This window comes from Homo sapiens, chromosome 22, assembly GCF_000001405.40.
Source record: "Homo sapiens chromosome 22, GRCh38.p14 Primary Assembly".
NCBI lineage: Eukaryota > Metazoa > Chordata > Mammalia > Primates > Hominidae > Homo > Homo sapiens.
This window is the reverse complement of record NC_000022.11, coordinates 29346477-29370652: the sequence shown is the minus strand read 5'-3', so window position 1 is coordinate 29370652 and position 24176 is coordinate 29346477. Positions and strand designations below refer to the sequence as shown.

The following is a 24176-nucleotide window of genomic DNA, read 5'->3' as shown; positions in this document are numbered from 1 at the left end:
CTGTCACCAGCAGGTTGCGTCCTGGGAATTTAGGGCCCTCTGATGTTGTATTGGGCCTGCAGGGGAGGGGACAGGCTCTGACGGCTTTTTCTTCTGGAGAGGCAAGAAATTCCGAGCAGCTCTCACATTAGTTATCTAAGGTATTTTGTTTGTTTTATTCACTTTTCTTTCTTTCTTTCTTTCTTTTTTTTTTTTTTTTTGAGACTGAGTCTCACTCTGTCGCTCGGGCTGGAGTGCAGTGGCACGATCTCAGCTCACTGCAGTCTCCACCTCCTGAGTTCAAGCAATTCTCTTGCCTCAGCCTCCCGAGTAGCTGGGACTACAGGCACATGCCACCACGCCCAGCTAATTTTTTGTATTTTAGTAGCGACGGGGTTTCACTATGTTGCCCAGGCTGGTCTCAAACTCCTGAGCTCAGGCAATCTGCCCACCTCAGCCTCCCAAAGTGCTAGGATTACAGGCATGAGCCACCACGCCCGGCCACTTTTGTTTCTTTTTAGATTTAATGTTGGAGTGGTTTCTGTGTTACTTTCTGTGTTTCTTTGTGGCCTGTGAGTTTTAGCCCCTTTTGTCTTCAGTTATCCCTCTTACACTCAACCTTGAGAAATGATATTATCCTATTATTTTGGATACTTTTGGCAGTTACACTCTCAAGTCTGTGACTTCTGGAACCATGCAGATCTTTATTGTAAGACAGAAATCCCATTATCTGATTTACCTGCCCATTTTCAGAGGTCCCCAAAGAACCCCTAGGTTGGTGAGGTTTCTTTGAGAAAATGGCTTTATGTGTGTGCAAAAAAAAAAAAAAAAAAAAATCGTTTTTAATGTCGGTAAATTCCTGTTGGAAACAAATGCTAACTAGTTACGTAACAGGGCTGCCAGAGAGCAGGCTGAGGCTCCCTGGGATTTTCAGTGGCCCCTTTTCATTTCTTTCAACAACTATCAATTGAATACTTGCTATGTGCCGGGCCTGGGCCAGGCATGAAAGAGGAGGGCGAACGGGAGCTGTGAGCCTGGCGCATGCGGGGCCTTCCTTTGTGGATCTGTCTACAGCCATGACTCATGCTGGGAGGACCAGCAAGTTTAGAGTCCCCACTGTGGGACTTGCAACATCAGACGCAGTGGGCTCTTCTGCTCTTTCCTGCAGCTCCCATAGAAAAGTGCCATCCTTCCTTTTCAACTTTGCAAAGCAAAAGGGAAGTAGAATTGTGCCTTTTTTTGTACTGTTTTGTCAGTGAAGCCTTTATTCCTTTATTCCTTCAGGATCCACAAAGGATTTAAGGTGACCCCAAGACAGTACGTATTTGTTTCCCAGTGATTACTGAAACAAAATCTATGGGTGTCTCTCGGTTGGGAGGCTTGCTCAGTGCCATCCTGCCATAAATACAAGCTTAATTTGGAAAAATCCAATTGGGCTGGAGAGGAGGTGCTGTGTTGGCTTGGTTTCCAGAGGCTGTGAAATGACTCCTGATCCCTCACATCCGTTGCACTAGTAACTTTCATCTTGCCCCCGTATAGTAATGACTTGAAAGGAGATATTGGTGGGTTATTTGTTTGAGTCCCTTCCATAGACGCAACAAAAGAGATAAAGTGAAGTGGGTTTTCTCCATTCAAATGTCTGTTTTTTGGAGTTGTGTGGTTTTCTATACCACATAAAACTACAGGTAGGATTGGAAGGCTGTACTTGAAAGTCTCAATGTGTTTTTTTTTTGCGGGGGTGGGGCGGGGAGACAGAGTCTTGCTCTGTCACCACACTGGAGTGCTGTGGCACAGTCTCAGCTCACTGCAACTTCTGCCTCCTGGGTTCAAGTGCTTCTTGTGCCACTCAGCCTCCCAAGTAGATGGGACTACAGGTGTGCACCACTGCGTCCGGCCTCAATTTTTTTTTTTTTTTTTGACTGAATCCTTTAGCCACTATCAGGGAACTGTCCTCCTCGTCAGAAGGGGGAAACAGAATTCCTTCAATAGAGCATAGGAACTAAGCTCAGGTAGGCCTGAGATGGTCTCCCAGCCCAGCCACTTACAAGCCATTTGACCTTGGGCACGTCATGTAACATCGCTGAGTCCGTTTCATCATTTGTAAAATGGGATTCAAAGCAGTTACATTATTGACAAGATTAAGTGAGATAATGTGGGCGAAGCCCCTGCCTTTAATAGGGGCTCAGTAAATGATAGATTCTTAATAAATGTATCTAGGGTATCTTGGTTCCTGTGTAACTTCTTTTCTTTCATCTGTTGCCCAGAAGAACTACTGAGGTACATAGGAGATGCTCAGTAAATTTTTGTTAAATGATTTTTGTTAAATGAATGGCAGAGCTTCAGTACTTTCTTTGTCCTATTGTCTTTTTTTTTTCTGAGACAGAGTCTTGCTCTGTCTCCCAGGCTGGAGTGCAGTGGTGTGGTCTCAGCTTACTGCAGCCTCAGTCTCTTGGGTTCCAGTGATTCTCCTGCCTCACCCTCCCAAGTAACTGAGATTACAGGCACACACTACCACGCCTGGCTAATTTTTTGTATTTTTAGTAGAGATGGTTTTTACCATGTTGGCCAGGCTGGTTTCAAACTCCTGACCTCAGGTGATCCACCCGCCTCAGCCTCCCAAAGTGCTGGGATTACAGGCATGAGCTGTGGTGCCCAGCCCCTATTGTCTACAATAGTACTTCACGCTGTGAGCTTTGCGCTAGGAGATGTCCTGAGAGAGCCTTTAAGAAAACTGGCCAGGTAGATTTGGGAACTGCTGTAGAGTACAGATTCTAGCCCTTTCCAGAGATGAATCAGGCATGTTACTATTTTAGCAGCTTAGAAAAGTTGTGGGGAGAAGAAGTCTCCCTAGCCTTTTAAGCTTGGTATTTTCTAATCTTATTTGACTGTATAGGGTAATATCGTGCCTTGATGATGCTGTGATGAGGCTCCTAATGAGTTAATGTGTGCCAAGCATTTAGGACAGTGCTGAGCAAAGTGGGTCCCACAAAGGGGCTGCTGTAAGCCCATCCATCCTTGTGCAGATATTTTTGTGGGAAAGATTTCTAGAAGAGGCACATTCAAAAATTTGATGGGATCAGGTGTGGTGGCTCACACCTGTAATCCCAGCACTTTGGGAGGCCGAGGCAGGAGGATTGGCTGAGCCCAGGAGTTTGAGACCAGCCTGGGCAACATGGTGAGATCCCATCTCTGAAGAAAAAAAAAAAAAAAAGGTTGATAGATTCCTCAGAATTACTTTTCAAAATCTAATCTGCCATGATCTAAAGTTTGTTTCTCCAGGAAATAGATAAGCAGCTGTTTTCCTGTACCACATGTGTTCTGGATCCTTCTCCTCCCTCTGCACCATAACTGAAGATGGGATGGAGCATAACTGAAAGTCACCCCTCTCTTCTCTCTCTTGCAGAAGCCTGGCTACAGATAAGGGACCAAAATGACTGACTCAAAATATTTCACCACGACCAAGAAAGGTATTACTTGTTTAATAATGGGCCTTGTCCTATGCTTTCTCTTCCTGTCCCTTCTGTTTTCCTCCTATGGCGGTAGGGAGTAGGGGTGGGAATGAAGGCCTGGAAACATGTGGCAGGAATGGCCTAGAGCTTGTGGTAGATCTAGAAAATTGAACTGTTGATGATATAAGAAATTGACCACTCCTTTTAGAGCTCAGAAAGGGAAGAACATTAGCTCCAAGTGTGGGGAAAAAAAGTGCCCTTTTATTTCCCATGGCTTAAAATAATTATGTTTTTTTCCAGGGGAAAGAAAACACAGAATCCTATCAACACCCCCACAGCAGTTGTGTGTGTGTGTGTGTGTGTGTGTGTGTGTGTGTGTGTGTGTGTGTGTCCTTATCCAAGGGCACGTGTTTTTCTTTTTTTTTGAGACGGAGTTTCACTCATGTCACCCAGGCTGGAGTGCAGTGGTGCGATCTTGGCTCATTGCAACCTCCGCCTCTCGAGTTGAAGTTATTCTCCTGCCTCAGCCTCCGGAATTGCTGGGATTACATGCGCCCGCCGCTATGCCCAGCTAATTTTTCTTTCTTGTTTTTTTGAGACGGAGTTTCGCTCTTGTTGCCCAGGCTGGAGTGCAATGGCGCTGATCTCAGCTCACCACAACCTCCGCTTTCCAGGTTTAAGTGATACTCCTGCCTCAGCCTCCCAAGTAGCTGGGATTACACCACCATGCCCGGCTAATTTTGTATTTTTGGTAGAGACGGGGTTTCTCCATGTTGGTCAGGCTGGTCTGAAACTCCTGACCTCAGGTGATCCGCCCCCTCAGCCTCCCAAAGTGCTGGGATTACAGGCGTGAGCCACCGCGGCCGGTCAGGCATGTATTTTCATCGTTTTAATCCTGTTTTTCATTTGATGTTTTGATATCATAAACATTTCCCAACAATTCTAATGACTCACTATTAAGTCTATTGAGTAGCTACACTGAAATTTGCTAAGCTAGGCTTATATCATTGGGTATTTTGGTTGTTTCTGCTTTTAAGGAAATGGAGGATGTCGTCGTGGCTGACAAATGTGCTTTAACCCTGTAAGCATCTTTCTGGCCAGCCCTTTATTCCTCCCTCCTTCCTTCCAAGTGATACTGACACATGCCTGCCGACCAGATGAAAAGAGTCTGTTGCTGGATCAGCTGATCCAGGACCCGAAGTCTGCCCCTCATCAGGCATTTCATGTATTGGTCTAGCTGGTTTTTACTGAGAACCTACCATGTGCAGTGGAAAAGAAACAGAGCCTCTGACCTGGTGTTGCTCAAGGTTGAGCAGGGAAGACAGTCTGTAGAGTAGTAACCACACTGAAGTGTACTGGGTCCAGGGGGGACTGTGGGAGAGCTCTGGGTGGAGCTGGCCAGATCGATGGGGGATAGGAAGGGGAAGGAGTGAGTGCTGTGCCTGTGACACATTTGGGGAAAGGAAGGTAGTGGGCATGAGCTACCGAGGAGGGTGATACAAGAAGAGGTTAGAGCCAGGCACAGTGGCGCCCCAGGTGGTGGCTTGGGTGGGAGGATTACTTGCTTGAGCCCAGGAGTTCGAGTCTAGCCTGGGCAACTAATTGAAAAAAGAGAGAAAGCAATTGGAGAGGTACGCAGGGATCAGTCTTGTGGAGCCTGGTGAGCCACAGGGTGAACGTAGTGCTGAGTGTATTGGAGTCCCAGGGGTGGGTTTTGTTGTTTGTTTGTTTTTTTTTGAGACAGAGTCTCTGTCACCCAGGCTGGAGTGCAATGGGAAGATCTCTGCTCACTGCAGCCTCCTGGGTTCAAGCAATTCTCCCAAGTAGCTGGGACTACAGGCACGTGCCACCATGCCCAGCTATTTTTTTTATTTTGGGGTTGGGGTTTTTTAGTGGATTTCTTTTGGGAAGAGAGATGTGTGGACAGACATGCCTGGGTTCAATGCTCCAGCCAAAGAGACAAGGAAACAGGTTTAGGAAAGCAAAGTGGGTATCTTGGGTAGGCCCAAGCATAGGGATTGAGAGCATGGGCTTTGGAGCTAGCAGACCTGGTTTTCAGTTTCAGCCCTGCCCCCTACCAGCATTGGCTATACGTTACTGAGCCTCTCACAGCCTCCATTTGCAAAACGGAGGGAAATGCAGAGTTGTGAGGATGAAATAAGAAAATGTGTGGGAACAAGTTAGTATGGGACTAGGCTTAGAGAAGGGCTTAGAGGGGCCGGGCATGGTGGCTCAGGCCTGTAGTCTCAACACTTTGGGAGGCTGAGGCGGGTGGATCACCTGAGGTCAGGAGTTTGAGACCAGCCGGGCCAACATGGTGAAACCCCGTCTCTACTAAAAATACAAAAATTAGGAGGGTTTGATGGTGTCCGCCTATAGTTCCAGCTATTTGGGAGGCTGAGGCAGCAGAATTGCTTGAACCCGGGAGGCGGAAGTTGCGGTGAGCCGAGATCGCACCGCTGCACTCCAGCCTGGGTGACAGAGTGAGACTATGTCTCAAAAAAAAAAAATGGCCGGGCGTGGTGGCTCATGCCTGTAATCCCAGTGCTTTGGGAGACCAAGGCGGGCGGATCACGAGATCAGTTCAAGACCAGCCTGACCAACATGGTGAAACCCCGTCTGTACTAAAAATACAAAAATTAGCTGGGTGTGATGGCGCACGCCTGTAGTCCCAGCTACCCGGTATGCTGAGGCAGGAGAATTGCTGGAACCCAGGAGGCAGAAGTTGCAGTGAGCTGAGATGGGGCCACTGCACTCCAGCATGGGTGACAGAGCAAGACTCTGTCTCAAAAAAATAAAAAATAAAAGAGAAGGGGTCAGGAAATGACATCTGCCCTCCTAACCTGTTATCAGGGTCCTGACTATCTGTCCATGGCAGGGCCAGACAACCCTGCTTCCTCATTTGTTTTTTTCATGTCATGAAGTTCTTCAGAACAATTGATTTCATGCTTGAGCTCTCATGGAGCAGCTGAATTCCTGTTTTCAGAGCTGAGCAACCAACCACTTGTGTCTCAGGAAGTGAAACCCTGAACAAGCTGTTTTAATTAGAGGTTTGAGGAAAACAGGAAAGGCCTTCATGTGGGAATCCACAAATCCTGCTCTCACCCCGCAAGCCTTAAGTACTCAGGTTCTATTGCACTGAGCCTTTTAAGGGTCTTTTGTTGAGTGAGGGTAGCTGAGGACAGCTTTGCCTTCCACTGGGGTTTTAGCTCCCTGGCTGAGCAGAGCCTGCCATCATGTTTTTGATGCTTTTGTCTTCCTCAGAACCTTTGTAGCTTCCATGGTTCCTGTTGCTTCAATCCAGAGTGGCCTCTAAACTTTTTTTTTTTGGAGACAGGATCTCACTTTGTGTCCCCCAGGCTGGAGTGTAGTGGTGTCATGGCTCACGGCAACCTCGATCTCTGGGCTCAAACGATTCTTCAGCCTCAGCCTCCAGAGTAGCTGGCACGGCAGGCACATGCCACCACACCCGGCTAATTAAAAAAAATTATTTTGTAGAAACGAGGTCTCACTATGTTACCCAGGCTGATCTCAAACTCCTGAGCTCAAGTAATCCTCAGCCTCTTTTTTTTTTTTTGAGATGGAGTCTTGGCCCTGTCGCCAGGCTGGAGTGCAGTGGCGCCATCTTGCCTCACTGCAACCTCCACCTCCCGGATTCAAGCAATTCCCCTGCCTCAGCCTCCCGAGTAGCTGGGATTACAGGCACGCGCCACTATGCCCGGCTAATTTTTTGTATTTTAATAGAGACAAGGTTTCACTATGTTGGCCAGGATGGTCTTGATCTTCTGACCTCGTGATCCGCCTGCCTCGGACTCCCAAAGTGCTGGGATTACAGGCATGAGCCACTGTGCTGGCCAATCCTCAGCATTTTAAAGTGCTGGGATTACAGGTATGAGCGACTGCACCCGGCCTACAAGTTTCCATCTTGTTAATTCCTGTCCTAACAGTCATCCCTCACTGTTGCCTGGCCCACCTGAGGCCAGGCGCCTGAAGCTTCCCTCAGCCAACAGCATAGGATGTCTTACGTGCCTCCCTCCGGTTCTTTTGGAAGTTAGATACTGGGAATTGTCCCCTGCCAGGGTAGGGAGGGATCACTCATGCTTGCCTCCTTTCCTTAGGGGAGATCTTCGAGCTGAAGGCAGAGCTCAACAGTGACAAGAAGGAGAAGAAGAAGGAGGCAGTGAAGAAAGTGATTGCATCGATGACCGTGGGCAAAGATGTCAGGTGTGCAGGAGTAGGCCTGGTGGCAGCTAGAAGCTGGCTGACAGGGGAGGGTTTATAGCTTGGGTCCACTTCAGTCTCTCCTTTAGGGTGTCTAGGGACCCATGTCTCCCCTCATACAGCTCCCTTCATAAAACTTTCTTCCCAATAGAAGGTTTTGTTTACACAGGAATCATGAGCCCAGACACTGACAGGTCAGGTGGTTATGGAGTGAGTTAACTGGAGTAGGTGGGAAAGGCAGCAGGCAATGGAGTGGGTGTGGCATGAACCCTCTCAGAAACTCCAGAGGATCAGTACTGGCTGGGGAAGAGGACCCAGTGTGGCCAGGTCTTCTGGTTTTTAAAAGAATGGGAAATCTGGGCCAGGCGCGGTGGCTCACGCCTGTAATCCTAGCACTTGGGGAGGCCCAGGCGGGCGGATCTCGAGGTCAGGAGTTCGACACCAGCCTGGCCAATATGGTGATATCCTGTCTCTACTAAAAATACAAAAAGTAGCCGGGCATGGTGGCGCATGCCTGTAGTCTCAGCTACTCGGGAGGCTGAGGCAGGAGAATTGCTTGAACCTGGGAGACACAGGGTGCATTCAGCTGAGATTGTGCCACTGCAGTCCAGCCCAGGTGACAGAGCGAGACTCAGTCTCAAAAAAAAAAAAAGAAGAATGGGAAATCTGGATTTTTCATTTTAAATCTCCCTGTCTTAAGTGGCCAGATGATATTAAACAAACACTGTGTGGTGCAAGTAAAACACACGTGCAGATTGGATTTCTCTAATTTGTCACCGGTGTGCAGCCTCTGTCGCACCTGATGGCTAAAGCCGGTTGTGTGTAGAGCGGCTGCCGCACCTTGGCTCATGCTTCCCCTGTGGGAGCGCCCAGTGACCCAGCTTGTCTTCCCATCTTTAAAAACCCATTCGAGGCCGGATGTGGTGGCTCACACCTGTAATCCTAGCACTTTGGGAGGCCGAGGCGGGTGGATCACGAGGTCAGGAGTTCAAGACCAGCCTGGCCAACATGGTGAAACCCCGTCTCTACTAAAAATACAAAAATTAGCCAAGCGTGGTGGTGGGCACCTGTAATCCCAGCTACTTGGGAGGCTGAGGCAGAGAATTGCTGGAACCTGGGAGGCAGAGGCTGCAGTGAGCCAAGATCACGCCACTGCACTCCAGCCTGGGCAACAGAGCAAGACTCCATCTCAAAAAAAAAAAACATTCAAGGTCTGCCTTCCCTGTGTTTCCTTCCCTGATCACCCCAGCCCACTACCTCAAACTCAAAGCATTTGCTGTCTGTTCCCATCACCCAGCACTAAATGGAAACTGTTCTCTTGTTATGTGTACTTGTGTTTACCTGCTCACCAGATTGTAAAATCTCAAAGGCAGAGACTGGATTTTAAAACAGCTTGATATTTGCACAGTATTTGAGAGTCTGCACAGAACATTTTGAGATTTGTTTTCTCAGTAGTTCCTTACAATTCCCATATTGTAGGTAATGACAGTTTTACTGCCAAAGAAATAAAAACATAAAGTGACTGCCTAAGAGTCACATGGTTTATGGCAGAACTAGGACTCAAGCCCAGTTCTTCTGAAATCCAAATCCAGGCCACTTTCACCCATGCCCTCGTGGTGCCCAGCCCTGTGCCTCATAACCCGGGTGCTGAGGTGGAGCAGCTCCCATCCAGGTCCCAAGATAGGCTCCCACTGCTCCAGACGTCCCCATGGATCGCCCCCCAAGCAAAGGACCTCCTGCCAGCAGCTCCGGGAAGGGGCTCTGCAGAGAGCCCTTTGGAAGCCAGAGCAGAAAGGAAACAGGTACCTGCTGGACAACTGGGCCTCCTTCCAAGTCAGATTCCTTCCAGGACAAAGCTGCTCTCCTTCACCCAGCACACCACTGTCACCTCCTCACAGAGGAGAAACATCTTTGTTCTTCCATCTCAAAAGAGCTGGCTTTGCTGATATGATAAGCCCCAAAGAGCGAGTCGGCCTCATCAGCAGTTTTTCCTCCTCCCTCCTCCCCATTCTTCCTGGTGCATCATCTTCCAAGGTGACACATAAATTTTGGCTTTGGCAGGACTCCTGCCTGTTGGGGATCAGGAAGTTCACTTTGACCTCCTAAGTCTCTATGTTGACACGTCCTTTCCTATAAACACATAAGAATTGAGAGGGGATATGATGATTTCAGAGATAGAAAATTGATCTCTAACCAAATTTCACATCTTAAGAAGGCCTGTGACTCTGGGACCACGGGTACCATGTTGAGAAGGGTTCCACCCAGTGGTCATGAGCACGGACCTTGTTCTCAGACCTGATTCCTCCAGGCAGGTTATTTGACATTTATGAACCTCAGTGTTCTCTGAAATGGGGATCATCCCCTGACTTCTGAGGGCAGTTAAATGAGATCAAGCATGTAAAGCTCTTAGCACCAAGCCTGGTGTATGGTGTGTGCTCCATGCATGCTGTGCTGGTTCTTACCGGGTGCCAGAGCTTGTGGAGAAAGCAGCATGAGCCATCCTGCTTCCCTGCGACCCTCCAGAACCAGCAGCCCAATGTAAGGGGCCACATTAAGTATCAGAGAGGGAGAAAGGATCATTTTCATTTACTCAGCATCTCCCAGATATCAAGGACCAGATACCTAAGTATGTTGTCTCATTCAGTTATCATAAAGGCCCTGTGAAGTGAGTTTCTGTTGCGTCTTTCTTGGAAGTTAGAAAATTGAGACTCAGGGCGAGGGGGCAGGTGACAAAGGAATTTCTCCAATGTCATATAGCTAGCAAGAGGCAGTGGTGGGTTTGATGGGCTCCAGAACTCATGTTTGAACTATATGAAAAGAATCAAGGACTTTCCTGCTTTTAAAATTACCCTTTGGGATTCCCTTTCTATCAATAGGTGTTGATTGTTAACAGCAGACCTGAAACCCTCCCTTTTACCAGGAAGTCCAGTGTGTCTCTCCTTTCTCTCCTACCCACTGTCCTCTCACCCACTAGTTAGCAGCCTGAAAATCTTCCTCTTCCTTTGTTCAGCCTTTCCCATGCTGACACCATTTTGACCTTCCAGTGCCCTCTTCCCCGATGTGGTCAACTGCATGCAGACGGACAACCTGGAGCTGAAGAAGCTAGTATACCTCTACTTGATGAATTACGCCAAGAGTCAGCCTGACATGGCCATTATGGCCGTCAACACCTTTGTGAAGGTGAGCAGACGCTTGGTGGGCGTGGGGACATTGGGTGCTTAAGGCTCTGTCTCCCCTCAGTCTCTTTGGGGCGGGGCCCTGTGGCACTGGATGGAGTCCAGACCTTCAGACTGCCCGCGCCCGCCCAGCCTGCAGGCCTCTTCCTCCAGCAGAGGGCTCCCACTCTCCAGAAAATCAGATGCTAAGGACCCTGCGTAACTCATCCTGTGTGAGGTCCTGCCAGGCCTGTTGATCCCCTCACTGCCCTGATTGGACCCTGCCCTGCATGCTTTGCTAGGGCAGGAATCAGCAGGTGCCCGAGAGCTTCTCTGTTGCCCTTACAGACTGCTGCTTTCTCCATTTTCTGTCCTTCAGATTAAATTGTCAGCTCTGTGCACCTATATTTTAATTTTATTTTCTCCTAATGTTCAGTACCTCTGAATTTGTATACCTTTAGAACCTTAGCTCCCCTGAGTCCTGTCCGTGCTCGGATATGGGGAAATGAGGCTTCTGTGGCCCAGTGGAAAGACCGAGGGCTGTGATGCTAGGTGGATGTGGGTTTGAATCACGGCTCTGCTCTGTGGCTTCAGATGAGCTCCTAGCCTTTCTGAGAGCCTCAGTTTCATCATCTATAAAATGGGACCCGTATTGTATTTCTACTGTGAGGATCAGAGGAGATGGTGTGCAGAGCTGGCATGGGTGCTGGTTATATAGCATTTACTTTTGCTGTTGTTGGCTGTAGTTGGTGAAGATCCACAGCAGCCATCTGATGTCGCTCAGCCTAGCAGGGCTCAGAGCTGCAGGCCAGGGAGAATATGAAGCCACAGATGGCTCATCCCACCCCTGCCCTGGCCGATGGCTGGTTCCCCCCAGGACTGTGAGGACCCCAACCCCCTCATCCGAGCCCTGGCAGTGCGGACCATGGGCTGCATCCGCGTTGACAAGATCACAGAGTACCTGTGCGAGCCACTCCGGAAGTGCCTGAAGGACGAGGATCCATATGTGCGCAAGACAGCAGCTGTGTGCGTGGCCAAGCTCCACGACATCAACGCCCAGCTGGTGGAGGACCAGGGCTTCCTGGACACCCTTAAAGACCTCATCTCCGACTCTAACCCCATGGTAAGCCACTGCCACCCACCGTGCTACCTCCACCACCTCCTGGGTTGCTTGGGAAGACATTGGCTTGACTCTTCACCAGGCAGTCCTGAGTACCTAGAAGTCGGAGCCTGGCTGGGGGTGCCAGTTGTTCTTGTGCCTTTTGGTGGTTCAGGCACCCTCTCTGGAGGGAGCTAGACCTAGATTCCCTTCTCCTCACCCTCTGACTAGCTGCGCAACCTGGGGCAAGCTGCCTAGGCTCTCTTTTCTTCATCAGTGAGATGGATCTCATTCTACGTGGCTGGCAGGAGTGCTGTGAAGGTGACGTGCCTGGGATGGCCTGGTAACGGTGCACCATCAATACTAGTGCCCTCCTTCCCCTTCTAGTCACTGTTATTGTTGCTGTCTTCTCACCAAGCCAATATGCTGCATGTGTGGTGCTTTTCCCTTCCCCCATCTTTGTTGGGTTGTAGAGGGTCACCCTTGAAGTAGCATAGCCTGGAAGACAGGACATCAGGATGTAGCTGGATGTGGAACCCCACAGTCCCCTTACCCACAATGGTGGCAGCAGTTTGGAGGGCAGTTTGGCAGGGCCTGTTTAAAATGAATGCACAAACCCAGCCATTCCCCACTCTGAGCAGAAACACTGAGCAACTGCCATACACAGTACTGAGCGGCCAGTACAGGGATGGGTACTGGAGCACTGGATGGTTCACAGAGAAAAGTTGGAAACAATGCAGAACACCCTTAAAAACAGCTGCCTGGGCCGGGTGCAGTGGCTCACGCCTGTAATCCCAGCACTTTGGGAGGCTGAGGTGGGTGGATTACGAGGTCAGGAGATTGAGACCATCCTGGCCAACATGGTGAAACCCCATCTCTACTCAAAATACAAAAATTAGCCGGGTGTGGTGGCATGTGCCTGTAATCCCAGCTACTCAGGAGGCTGAAGCAGGAGAATCACTTGTACCCAGGAAGTCGGAGGTTGCAGTGAGCTAAGACTGCGTCACTGTACTCCAGCCTGGCGACAGAGCTAGACTCCGTCTCAAAAAAAAAAAAAAAAACAGCTGCCTGAGGCCGCGCGCAGTGGCTCATACAGGATTACATGCCTGTAATCCCAGCTATTTGGGAGGCTGAGGCGGGTGGATCACCTGAGGTCAGGAATTCAAGACCAGCCTGGCCAACATAGTGAAACCCTGTCTCTACTAAAAATATAAAAATTAGCTGGGCATGGTGGTGCGTGCCTGTAATCTCAGCTACCTGGGAGGCTGAGGCAGGAGGATTGCTTGAGCCCAGGAGGCAGAGGTTGCAGTAAGCCAAGATTGCACCACTACACTCCAGACTGGGCAACACAGTGAGACTCAATCTCAAAAACAACAAAAACAAGCTATGTGCAGTGGCTCACGCCTATAATCCTAGCACTTTGGGAGGTTGAGGTGGGAGGATCACCTGAGGTCAGGAGTCTGAGACTAGCCTGGCCAACATGGCGAAACCCCATCTCTACTAAAAATACAAAAATCAGCTGAGTGTGGTGGTGCATGCCTGTAATCAGTCCCAGCTACTCGGGAGGCTGAGGCATGAGAATCACTTGAACCCAAGAGGTGGAGGTTGCAGTGAGCTGAGATCACACCACTGCACTGCAACCTGGGCGACAGAGCACAACTCCATCTCAAAAAAAAAAAACAAAAAACAAAAAAAAACACCTTCCTAGTGGAAATGGATTGAGGGCCTGGAGCTTCACCTGGCAAGCCCCCATCCACTCCCAGTAGCCTCGAGGAGCTCTGCAGGAATCCCCTAGCTCTGAGAAGCACAGCTGACAAGCATTGAAGTGAGGTGCTGTTGCTGGTAGACAGGCGCTGCTGTGTTAGGAAGCTGAGAATGCTTTCTGTGGCTAAGCCCTTGGAGCTAGGTCTTTCTTGTTTTTCTAAATGGCAGGCACACTTGTTTTGTTCCAGTTTGCAGAGGAGTCAGCAGGGTGAGTGCTTGGAGTGGGTCTCGTTGCAGCTCCAGACCCTGCCCATTGGGTCATATTCCTTTCAGGATATTTGACCTCTGACCAGCCAGCATCATTAATGCACTGCCCCCTGGCCTGTGAGCAGCACCCCCAGCCTCTGCCCCTCCCACCCTCTCAACCAGGTGGTGGCCAATGCAGTGGCAGCGCTCTCAGAAATTGCCGAGTCTCACCCCAGCAGCAACCTGCTCGATCTGAACCCACAGTCCATCAACAAGCTGCTGACAGCCCTCAATGAGTGCACCGAGTGGGGCCAGATCTTCATCCTGGACTGCCTCGCCAACTATATGCCCAAGGACGACCGCGAGGCCCAGAGGTGAGCGGGCTGCCCGTTGCTTGCCAGCCCAGCTTGAGGACCCTGGTCCTCAGGGGCTCCAACCAGGCACTGGGCCTTGGGCCTTAGTGGGCCCCTTTCTAGTGCTTTGCCCCATAACCCACCCTCAGACACACCTAAAGGGAGGCCTGCCTGCTTCCCACCTCTCCAGAGCCAGGTAGACAGGAGAGTTGCCTTGGGCAGCTATGGGCATACGCATGGCCTGGCCTTGGAGCTGGCAGAAGCCCAGGGCACCTCTTTTGAGTTCAATAGGTGGGTAGCGCCAGAGCCACTGCTCATTGAATTCTCACTGGGTGTCTGGGGCTCTGCCGGGTGCTTTCCACACTTTAGAGTCTTTAATGCAACTTTTATCATCATCCCCCACTTTCCAGATGAGGGAGCTCCAGCTTAGAGAGGTGGAGGGAATAGTGCAGGTCCCCTGGCTGGGGCTCACCTGACTCATGGTCTTAACCAACAAGATACCCTCCAAGTCGGAGGAAGTGAGGAGTTGCCATCTATACAGTATGTACTACATGCCAGTACTGTGCTTGTTCTTTTTTTTTTTTTTTTTGGCAGGGTCTCTGTTCTGCAGGCTGGAGCTGCAGCCCCAACCTGCAGGGCTCAATCAATTCTCCCAGGTAGCTGGGACTACAGACATCTGCATGCCAACATGAGCAGCTAATTTTTATATTTTGTATAGAGACAGGTTTTCTCCATGTTGCCCAGACTGGTCTCAAACTCCTGGGATCAAGCAATCCACCCATCTCAGCCTCACCCAGCCTTGTTCTTTACATGCGTTGTGTCAGTTAAGCCCCTAGCAACCCTGTGAAGTAGGCATCATCATCTTGATTCTATAAATGAAGAAACTGAGGCTCAGAGTGATTTGAACCTGCTAGGGGTTATCAAGCAGCAGAACCAAGATTTAGATCTTTCTCCTACAAAAAACATGTTTGTTTGTTTGTTTGTTTATGACAGGGTCTCGCTCTGTTGCCCAGGCCAGAGTGCAGTGTCACAGTCTCAGCTCACTGCAGCCTCAAACTCCTGGGCTCAAAGCAGTCCTCCTGCGTCAGCCTCCCAAGTAGCTGGGACTACAGGCATGCACCACCATACTCAGCTAATGTGTAAAATTATTTTTAGTAGAGAAGGGTCTCATGATTTTGCCCAGGCTGAACATGCTATTTTTTTTTTTTTCGAGACAGGGTCTCACTCTGTTGCCCAGGCTGGAGTGCAATGGCGCGATCTCGGCTCACTGTAACCTCCACCTCCTGGGTTCAAGCGATTCTCATGTCTCAGCCTCCTGAGTACCTGGGACTACAGGTGCTTACCACCATGCCCAGCTAATTTTTATATTTTTTGGTAGAGACAAAGTTTTACCATGTTGGCCAGGCTTGTCTCAAACTCCTGACCTCAAGTGATCCACCCACCTCGGCCTCCCAAAGTGCTGGGATTACAGGCGTGAACTATCACGCCTGGCCTGGACATGCTATTTTGGTAACTAAAAACAGAATGTTTCCCCTTGTCTTTCCTGTTTGCCCCGTTGGAATGGACGGACCCCAGCATCTGTGAGCGGGTCACCCCCAGGCTCTCCCATGCCAACTCCGCTGTGGTGCTCTCTGCTGTGAAGGTGCTGATGAAGTTCATGGAGATGTTGTCTAAGGACTTGGACTACTACGGCACACTGCTCAAGAAGCTGGCCCCACCCCTGGTCACACTGCTGTCAGCCGAGCCAGAGCTGCAGTATGTGGCCCTGCGCAACATCAATCTCATCGTGCAGAAAAGGTACTGAGGTCACCACACGCACGTCCATGCGTACCCCTCGGGGAGCCTCTTCTGCTGGGAATGGGGGCTCTCAAAGGAAACTGACCTGTCACCATGCAGGAAGTCTCAAATAGCTTAACCCAGAATAGCTTAACCAAAGTGGCAGCTTTGCCCCCCTGAGGGATATTTGGTGGTGTCTGGAGATACTTTGGTTTTCACAGCTGAGGGGGGCATGCTACCGGCTTCTAGTGGGCAGAGGCTAGGAGTGCTGGTCAGCATCCTACAGTGCACAGAATAGCCCCTCACAGTAACTGTCCAGCCCGAAATGTCAGCAGTGCTGAGGTTGAGAAGCCCTGGCTTAACCTAACTAGGAAGCAGGCTATGTAAAGACTAGCTTGGTGATTAAACTAGATATTGTCTTCATAGTCCACGAGCTGTCCTGAAATGGGCTGTCAGATTTTGTGTATCTGTGTACATTTCTTCGGGGGACAGAGTCCGTAGCTCTAGTCAAACTCTCTGAGGTTGGAACCTTGAGGTCTGGGGGAGAGGTACATCGGACTCACTCCAAATGCTGTGCCGCCCACTTCCCTCCCATGAGAATGGCTGAGCAGTGAGCTGCTGCTCCCAGGGCACGTGGTATGGTAGTGGGGGGTAGGCGAGAGCAGAAAAACCATTGAGCAGTGCTGGATCGGAGGGGTTCATGGCATGATCCCCTTCTTCCTCTGAAGTGGCTCTGAGTGGCAGAGCCCTGCAGCTCTGGGGAGGGGGATTGACCTTGAGTTCTCCTCACAGCTTTTGGTCAAATGGCTCAGTCAGCAGTGGGGACTTGACAGTAGCAACCATTGATCATTCGTGGGGACTTGACAGTAGCAACCATTGATCATTCGTATGTTACAGCAGGCCCTGTGGCTGGGAGTGGGGCTACACAGAGAACTGGGGCCTCATTAGTCATTTTCTCTTGGAAGACAGCACATCCTCCTGGTTGTAGCTTCAGTCTGGGTCTTAGTACTCTCCCGGGGGACCCAGAGATATTGGTCGAATTGGGTTATTAGGGAGGTAAATATGGGAAAGCCTTCTGAGTTCCTAAACCAAGGGATGAAACTAGGGCTTCCTGGTTGCAGTGTGGGTCTTTATACGCCAGTGCCCTTGGGTCACGGATTTAATGCGGCGTAGTGACTAGTAGAGCAGATCAGCGTGCAGGATTCCCTGTGCTATATTTAACATAGTAAATCTCTTAAGAATTTGTCCACGTCACTGAGACATGCCCTGCCCTGGTCCTGAGATGTGGCTGGGCAGCTTTTGCCAAGTCCTAATCGCAGAAATATCTTCCTGCTACCCAGCTCGGGGTCTTGCCTCTCCCATGGGGCACGACAAAGGCTCCTTGCTTGGCCAGGACCTCCCCGCAGTGTGCACAGCAGCACAGAGTACCCAGTTTTCTCCTTTCTCTCTGTCCTGTCTTCTCCCTTCCTCACCATCTGTCCTCGTATCTTTTCCTTCCTCCTCTCTGTTCTGGAAGGGCATAGGAGTAGGAGTCAGAGGCAGAGGATTCTCGCCCCACTCTCGTCTTTACTGACATTAGCCATGTGACCTAGTACCAGCCTCTCACCCTCTCTGAAGTTTCCTTGTTCAGGAAAAATGTGGTGGGTGATACTCGCGGAAGGCAGAAGGATGTTGCCTTTGAGGGAGGAACAATGACACATGTGAAAGGGCTCAGCTAGTGACAGCTCCTGCCTAGCGGTGCCTTCTCTGAGGCAGGCATCGATCATGCTGGATGCTTCTCGTCTCACTCTCACAGCAGGCCGATTAGGTCGGTGTCCATGTTGGGGTCCCAAGACCACCCTCATGCTCAGGTTTCACTAGCAGTACTCACAGGACTCAGCATATATTTTTTAAATATATATATTTTTTGAGACAGGGTCTCACTCTGTTGCCGAGGCTCGTCTTGAACTCCTGGACTCAAGCAATCCTCCTGCCCCAGCCTCCCAAAGTGTTGGGATGACAGGCATGAGCTGCTGTGCCCAGCCAGGACTCAGCATATAGCTATACCCACAGCAAAGATCTATCAGCAGCAGAGCAGGGCTGCCCGGCTGGGTCATAGGGGAGAAGGACACAGGTGGAGTCTGGAGGGTTCCATGAGAGGCTTCCTTGTACCTCCTCCTTCCCATGGGGAGTCATACAGAGCACACTCCTCCCCCAACAAAATGCAGCAACATGTATGTAATGTTTCTGCCCAGGAAAGCCTATTTGAGACTTCGGCACCCAAGTTTGTTATTGGGGGCACCTACACAAATTCCATATTCCCAGTAGGGAAGCATGTGTTCAGCATAAACTGTATTCTTTGTACAAATGGTCTAGGTACAGTTAAATACCTTTATCATTTAGGGAACAGTGAGAACACTTCAAAATCCAAGTTGCCACGTGCCAGGCCTTCTGAGGCTAGCAGTCCCAGACCTGCAGTAGTAACATGTTTCTGTACAGCGTCATTCCCATTTCATGGGTGAGGAAACAGGCCTGAGGTCACAGGCTGGGACTGGGACTGAGATATGTCTGATTCCCAAGCCCGTCCCATGGGGCCTGCTGCCTCTGGAGAGTGAGTGAGCCGTCTCTCACTGCCCTCCGTCTCCCTTCCGGCGACGTGCTCAGGCACACAGGAGCAGTCACAGCCTTGCTCAGGCCGGTTGCTGGGCCCTCTACCCAGGAGCTTGCAGCCATGGCAGTGACTCTGCCTTCACAGACATCAGGCTCCACCTCAGACCCCAGAAATGTCCCAGCAAATGTGGAGGGCATTTTCTCACAGGGCTTAAGCCTTGTTTTTTGCTCTCCGGGCATCCTGCCCCACCACCAGGCCTGAGATCCTGAAGCATGAGATGAAGGTGTTCTTCGTGAAGTACAACGACCCTATCTACGTGAAGCTGGAGAAGCTGGACATCATGATCCGCCTGGCCTCTCAGGCCAACATCGCCCAGGTCAGCTGCGTGTGATGGTCAGGACACGGGCTCAGTGTGGGACCATTCCACCACCACCAGACTGTAGGCTCTGGCCCAGGTGACCAGTCTCACCATTAACGGTTTATCTCATGAAGAGTGTTTAGCATGGGACATGGGGCTTCGTAAGCAAGTAAAAGAACTGATGTTTTTATTACTAAAGAATGTTTCTCCATGTTATCACCTGTCATCCCTTACAACGTGGTGTTGGATATGTTAGCTAAATCAACCCCAAACAAGGTTGTCCAGGCCTTCTTTCCTTTTCAGGCACCTGCCAGCTCTCTCCCTTGGGCCTTCTACCTGGAGCAGGAGGCAGAATCCCATTCTCCTAGGGAGTCTGTGTATATTCACTGCCCAGGAGTGTTCCAGCAGATTGCCCCATCAGGTGCCCCAGCCCCATCTTTTCTGTTTGGGCCACAGGTGTTGGCAGAGCTGAAAGAGTACGCAACAGAAGTGGATGTGGACTTTGTACGGAAGGCTGTGCGTGCTATTGGCCGCTGCGCCATCAAGGTGGAGGTGAGGCTCTGGGACTCTGTCCTTGGCTGGAGAAGGAAAAGGGGGCTGAAACCGGGAAACCAGTCTGATTCAAGCAGAATCTGCCAGCTTGCTTGTGGTCTGGGAAGGCCTGAGGCTCATCACTGGAGCCCCCATGGCAAGCATTGTGCAGATCTGGTGGGGTTCCTTCTCACTCTATAGTATCCTTTAGGCCTTCGAGTTGCTGCCGATCAAATTAACCCATCATAATCATGGTTCTCCTGCAGCATTTGTTAAGATGCTGGGGCAGCCACAAGTTAATGGACTTAGCATTCACTTCACAGAGCTCTGGGGTAAGGGCCCTGCCTGTTGAACACTTCTTGGCAAATATTGTCATCATTCAGCTGCCCACGTGCCTCTGTGTCCCAGCGTCCCAGGGCCACTCTAGACTCCTGTGTCCTGGCATTTTATCCCCGTCCTTTCTCTGTCTGTGGAGATGTTCCTCGACCACTAAGCCAGATTCTCCTTAAATGGGTCCACTGGTGGCTACAGTGTCCTAGGATAGGTGGTCGCCCCCGACCTATCCCCTTGAGGCGTGCTCACCCTGGAGCCTATGATGCCGTCCTGAGAAATCTCCTTCAGAGCAGGCCGTGAGAGCAGTGTGTGGAAGTAAAGGCAGAAGCAGTCAGAGGTTCTGTGAGTGTTTTTGGACATAGGAGCCCCCTTTCTGAAACAAGTAAAAAGAGAGGTGGGGTTGGACTGCAGCGTAGTCACCTTGCCCTCAGGTCCTGACTTAGAGGAGCTCCAAGGACCCTCCTGGCTCTCAGGAACTCTTCCTCTGGCTTCTCCTCAGTCTCATTCCCCATGTCCCCACCATCCTAGGGCCATGATTTGGTACTGGTTCTCTCCTGTTACCTGGGGAGAGGGTTCTCCTGTTTTCCCACTGTGATGAGGAAGGTGTGCCAGAAGTGATTTGCAGCCCTTGGCCGAGGCGTGGACATCAGAGGCTCTACTGGAAATGGGGTGCGGGGACCTCGCCCACACTCTTCTCTTCCCATGCAGCAATCTGCGGAGCGCTGTGTGAGCACGCTGCTCGACCTCATCCAGACCAAGGTCAACTATGTGGTCCAGGAGGCCATCGTGGTCATCAAGGACATCTTCCGCAAGTACCCCAACAAGTGCGTGCCCGCCCTCCTAGGGAGAGGGCATCTAGCTCTGCCTGGGGACAGGGATGGCGGGGCAGAAAAGGAAGGAGGAATCTCCTCTTCCTTACTTCTTGGCCACAAGCGTCATTCTCAAAAGAAACCCTTTGTTTTTTATTTCGTCCACACTGCCCCTCCTCTACTCCCCAGGCCAAAATAAGGGCTAACGTGTGACAGATGAAACTCAGATCCCCAGGCCAGGTGTGGTGGCTCTTGCCTGTAATCCCAGCACTTTGGGAGGCCGAGGCGGGTGGATTGCCTGAGATCAGGAGTTCAAGACTAGTCTAGCCAACATAGTGAAACCATGTTTCTACTAAAAATACAAAAAAATTAGCTGGATGTGGTGGCATGTCCCTGTAATCCCAGCTACTTGGGAGGCTGAGGCAGGGGCATTGCTTGAACCAGGGAGGTGGAGGTTGCAGTGAGGTGAGATCACACCACTGCACACCAGCCTGGGCAACAGAGTGAAACTCCATCTCAAAAAAAAAAACAAAACTCAGATCCCCTTTACCTGCCACCTTGGGGTCTTAGGAGGCAGGTCCCCTTCCCTCCTGGCCCCTGTCTGGCTTCCCTGGGTTTCCCGTTCTCCTTGAGGGCTCCCATACCAACTGTGCCCTGGTCTCCCAGGTATGAGAGTGTGATTGCCACACTGTGTGAGAATCTGGACTCCCTGGATGAGCCTGAGGCCCGGGCTGCCATGATCTGGATTGTGGGCGAGTACGCGGAACGGATCGACAACGCAGATGAGCTGCTGGAGAGCTTCCTCGAGGGCTTCCATGACGAGAGCACACAGGTGAGCCAGCGAGCTGGCCAGGGTGTGAGTCATGACTGGCAGCTCAGCCCCACTGTGGCCCATACTGCCATGAAACCCTCCCTTCCTATTACCTCGTAAACAGCCCTGACAGACAGATGAGTGATGTGCGCGTAATGGACACCGCCCCTTTTCCTCCTCACTGCAGTACAGTCGAGTCGGGGACACGTGAGAGTCTGTGGTGGTGTGCGTGGAAGGCAGGCAAAAGTTCTTCATTTTGTTTTAATTCCATAGTCATATTTTAATAGGAAATATATTGACTTGGTTTAAAATTGATACAAAAGCATATATAGTGAAAAGTTTCCCTCTCATCACTTTGTAGGACACAAATTCTCCTCCCAGAAGTCATCACTTTTTTGATTTCTTAGGAAAGTTCAGGAGATCATTTAGGAATACACCAGTAGACCCACAGATACACACACATGCACCCATCCTTCCTATACACACATACACACACATATGCAACCAATTCTTATTTTTCATGGTGCTTCTGTTCCATAGTCATGGCAGACACTGAATTAGCAAGTACTGAACCATAGCTCCTAGGAGAAATATAGAGTTTAGTTTCTGTGAGCATCTAGACCCAACGTTTTTGTCAATTGATCAGTTAATAACCTTTTTAAATGTGTGTTTCTGTTTAAAAACACCTTAGTTAATATATATTGTCAATTCATTGACATTGAACTCATGGCCATGGATACTGTAATTCATGCCTTAGCGAAGCTTATCAAGGACATGTTTTCTCTGAGGCACATCACAGCCTTCTGTGCTTGGGGACACTAGGCAAGCACTTCAGTGCTAGGGAGCATTTTAAACAAGGAAATCAACAAAAAGCTCAAAAATGTGAAAAACATGGCACTAAATAGGTGGTGGAAAGGATGCTTGTTTACAGGATGAGAGCTGAAACATGAGTGTTGCCTTATTTGACCTCAGCTGTGAATGTGTGTGTCAGGCAACTGAAAGCTTTCACGGTTCTGCACGTATTTGCAAATGACTGCAAAGGCACCATGAGTCTTGATTTGGGGGCTACAAGTAAATTTTAGCAAGTAGGCAGATTCACAAACATGGATTGCTCAAGTAGTGAGAATCAACTGTATCTACACTGCCCTCTCATTTATTTTTAAACACTGCTGTAGCATACTCTGTAAATTCAAATTGTTTAGCACCTTGCCTTTTTCTGTTACCAACACCTGCAAAGACCATGCTCTCATTCATTTATGCTTTATTTAACCATCCTCTCCTGGTGGGTATTTAGGTGTCCAGTCTTGTGCTCATTGAAACAGTACTGCCGAGAATAACCTGTGTAATGCACATCTGCAGGCATAGCTGGAGGATACATTCATAGGAGCAGGATGCTTAGAGAAAAGAGCATGTGAGTTTGAGATTTGGGTAGCTGTTGCCAGATTCCTGTTGTGGAGGTTGTGCTGGTTTAGACTCCTATCTCAGATGCTGGGATTGCCCTCTCCTTACTTCTGCTTTGTTTTTGCCAGTCCAGTAGCTAACAGGGGTACCTCACTGTAGTTCTGTTTGCATTTCTGTTATGAATGAGGCTGAATGTCTGCCTTGTCATTTGTATTCCCTTTTCTCAGTTAACTGGGAACTGTCTGTTAGTCTGTTGGTGAGCACAGAAATTTTTGCTGCCCAACTGGGGTTGTGTAATCCCGTGGGTCCAAGTGTGGGACTTAGAATGAGAGATCCCAGAGTCCATACCCCTCCTCTGCCCCTTCCTGGCTCAGTAACTTTATGCTTATCCCTTTAACTCTCTGAGCCTCAGTTTCTTCATTTGTAAAATGAGAATCATTAGATCTTCCCTCATCCTCTTGCTACGAAAGTTAAATTAGGGTGCTTTGTGTAATGTCCTTGACACATGGCCAGCCCATAATAAACACTCGTTCATGGTAGTGTTGGTTTGGGCCAAATTGGTTTCAAAAGCAAACTAGTCCAGGCCAAAAAGGGGACCAACTGGTTCCGGTAGCTGGCAAGTGTGGGTAGCATGCTCTCTTCTGGGACTCCTGGCTGAGGGTGCTTGGATGGTGGCATTGAGCTATCTTCTGCCATGGATAGGCTCCCAACAGTGGGAGCTGTAAGGAATCAACAGTTCCAGGCTATGTCCTTATGGCACAATAACTCCCATGGGAAGAGTTTTTCCCCTCCCCTCAGTAGTTCCAGCAAAAGTCCCAGGACCTATTTGCATTATCCTGAGCCAGGCACTGTGACTCTGGTTGGCGAGGTCTCTCAGGCACCGATCCCAGTTTGTGTGGACTGAAAGGGACAGAAAGAAGGGCGAGGCTCTGAAGGAAAGCCAGTGTTTCTGTTCCCAGAAGACAGAATAGATGCTGGGTGAGCAAAAACAACAGATGTCCATCTCAGAATCACAGTACTAATTCCCACCGTCACCCCCCCCCACTGCCACCTGCCTCCAGACTGCCTTTGCTTGCAATACCAGCCTCTTCCCTCTGTCTCAGAAGCAAAGCTTGCCTATGCTGGGTTCTGCTCCTGCAGTCAAGTCCTGCCTGGGATCACTGCAAGGATGTCCTGTAGTGCAGGGATCCCCAACCCCCGGGCCACCATGGCCTGTAAGGAACTGGGCTGCACAGCGGGAGGTGAGCGGCGGGCAAGCAAGCATTACTGCCTCAGCTCCGCCTCCTGTCAGATCAGCGGCGGCATTAGATTCTCATAGGAGCGCAAACTCTATTATGAACTGCACATGAGAGGGATCTAGG

At 50.0% G+C, this 24176-nt stretch overlaps 1 protein-coding gene across 8 annotated transcripts in view; it reads left to right on the top strand.

Moving 5' to 3' along the window:
* The window catches only part of AP1B1 (adaptor related protein complex 1 subunit beta 1), a 60891-nt gene that overhangs the window by 17918 nt on the left and 18797 nt on the right, over positions 1-24176 (top strand). For 6 of the 8 annotated variants that reach the window (NM_001378566.1, NM_001166019.2, NM_145730.3 and 3 more), the window contains exons 2-11: positions 3383-3446; positions 7547-7652; positions 10694-10829; positions 11682-11927; positions 14037-14227; positions 15782-16003; positions 18828-18948; positions 19387-19482; positions 20503-20618; positions 21270-21435. In NM_001378566.1, coding sequence (NP_001365495.1) covers positions 3410-3446; positions 7547-7652; positions 10694-10829; positions 11682-11927; positions 14037-14227; positions 15782-16003; positions 18828-18948; positions 19387-19482; positions 20503-20618; positions 21270-21435 — 1437 coding nt within the window. In that variant the 5' untranslated portion in view covers positions 3383-3409. The remainder of the gene's footprint in view (positions 1-3382; positions 3447-7546; positions 7653-10693; positions 10830-11681; positions 11928-14036; positions 14228-15781; positions 16004-18827; positions 18949-19386; positions 19483-20502; positions 20619-21269; positions 21436-24176) is intronic. The other 2 variants (NM_001378565.1, NM_001378564.1) reach the window with 1 other exon arrangement.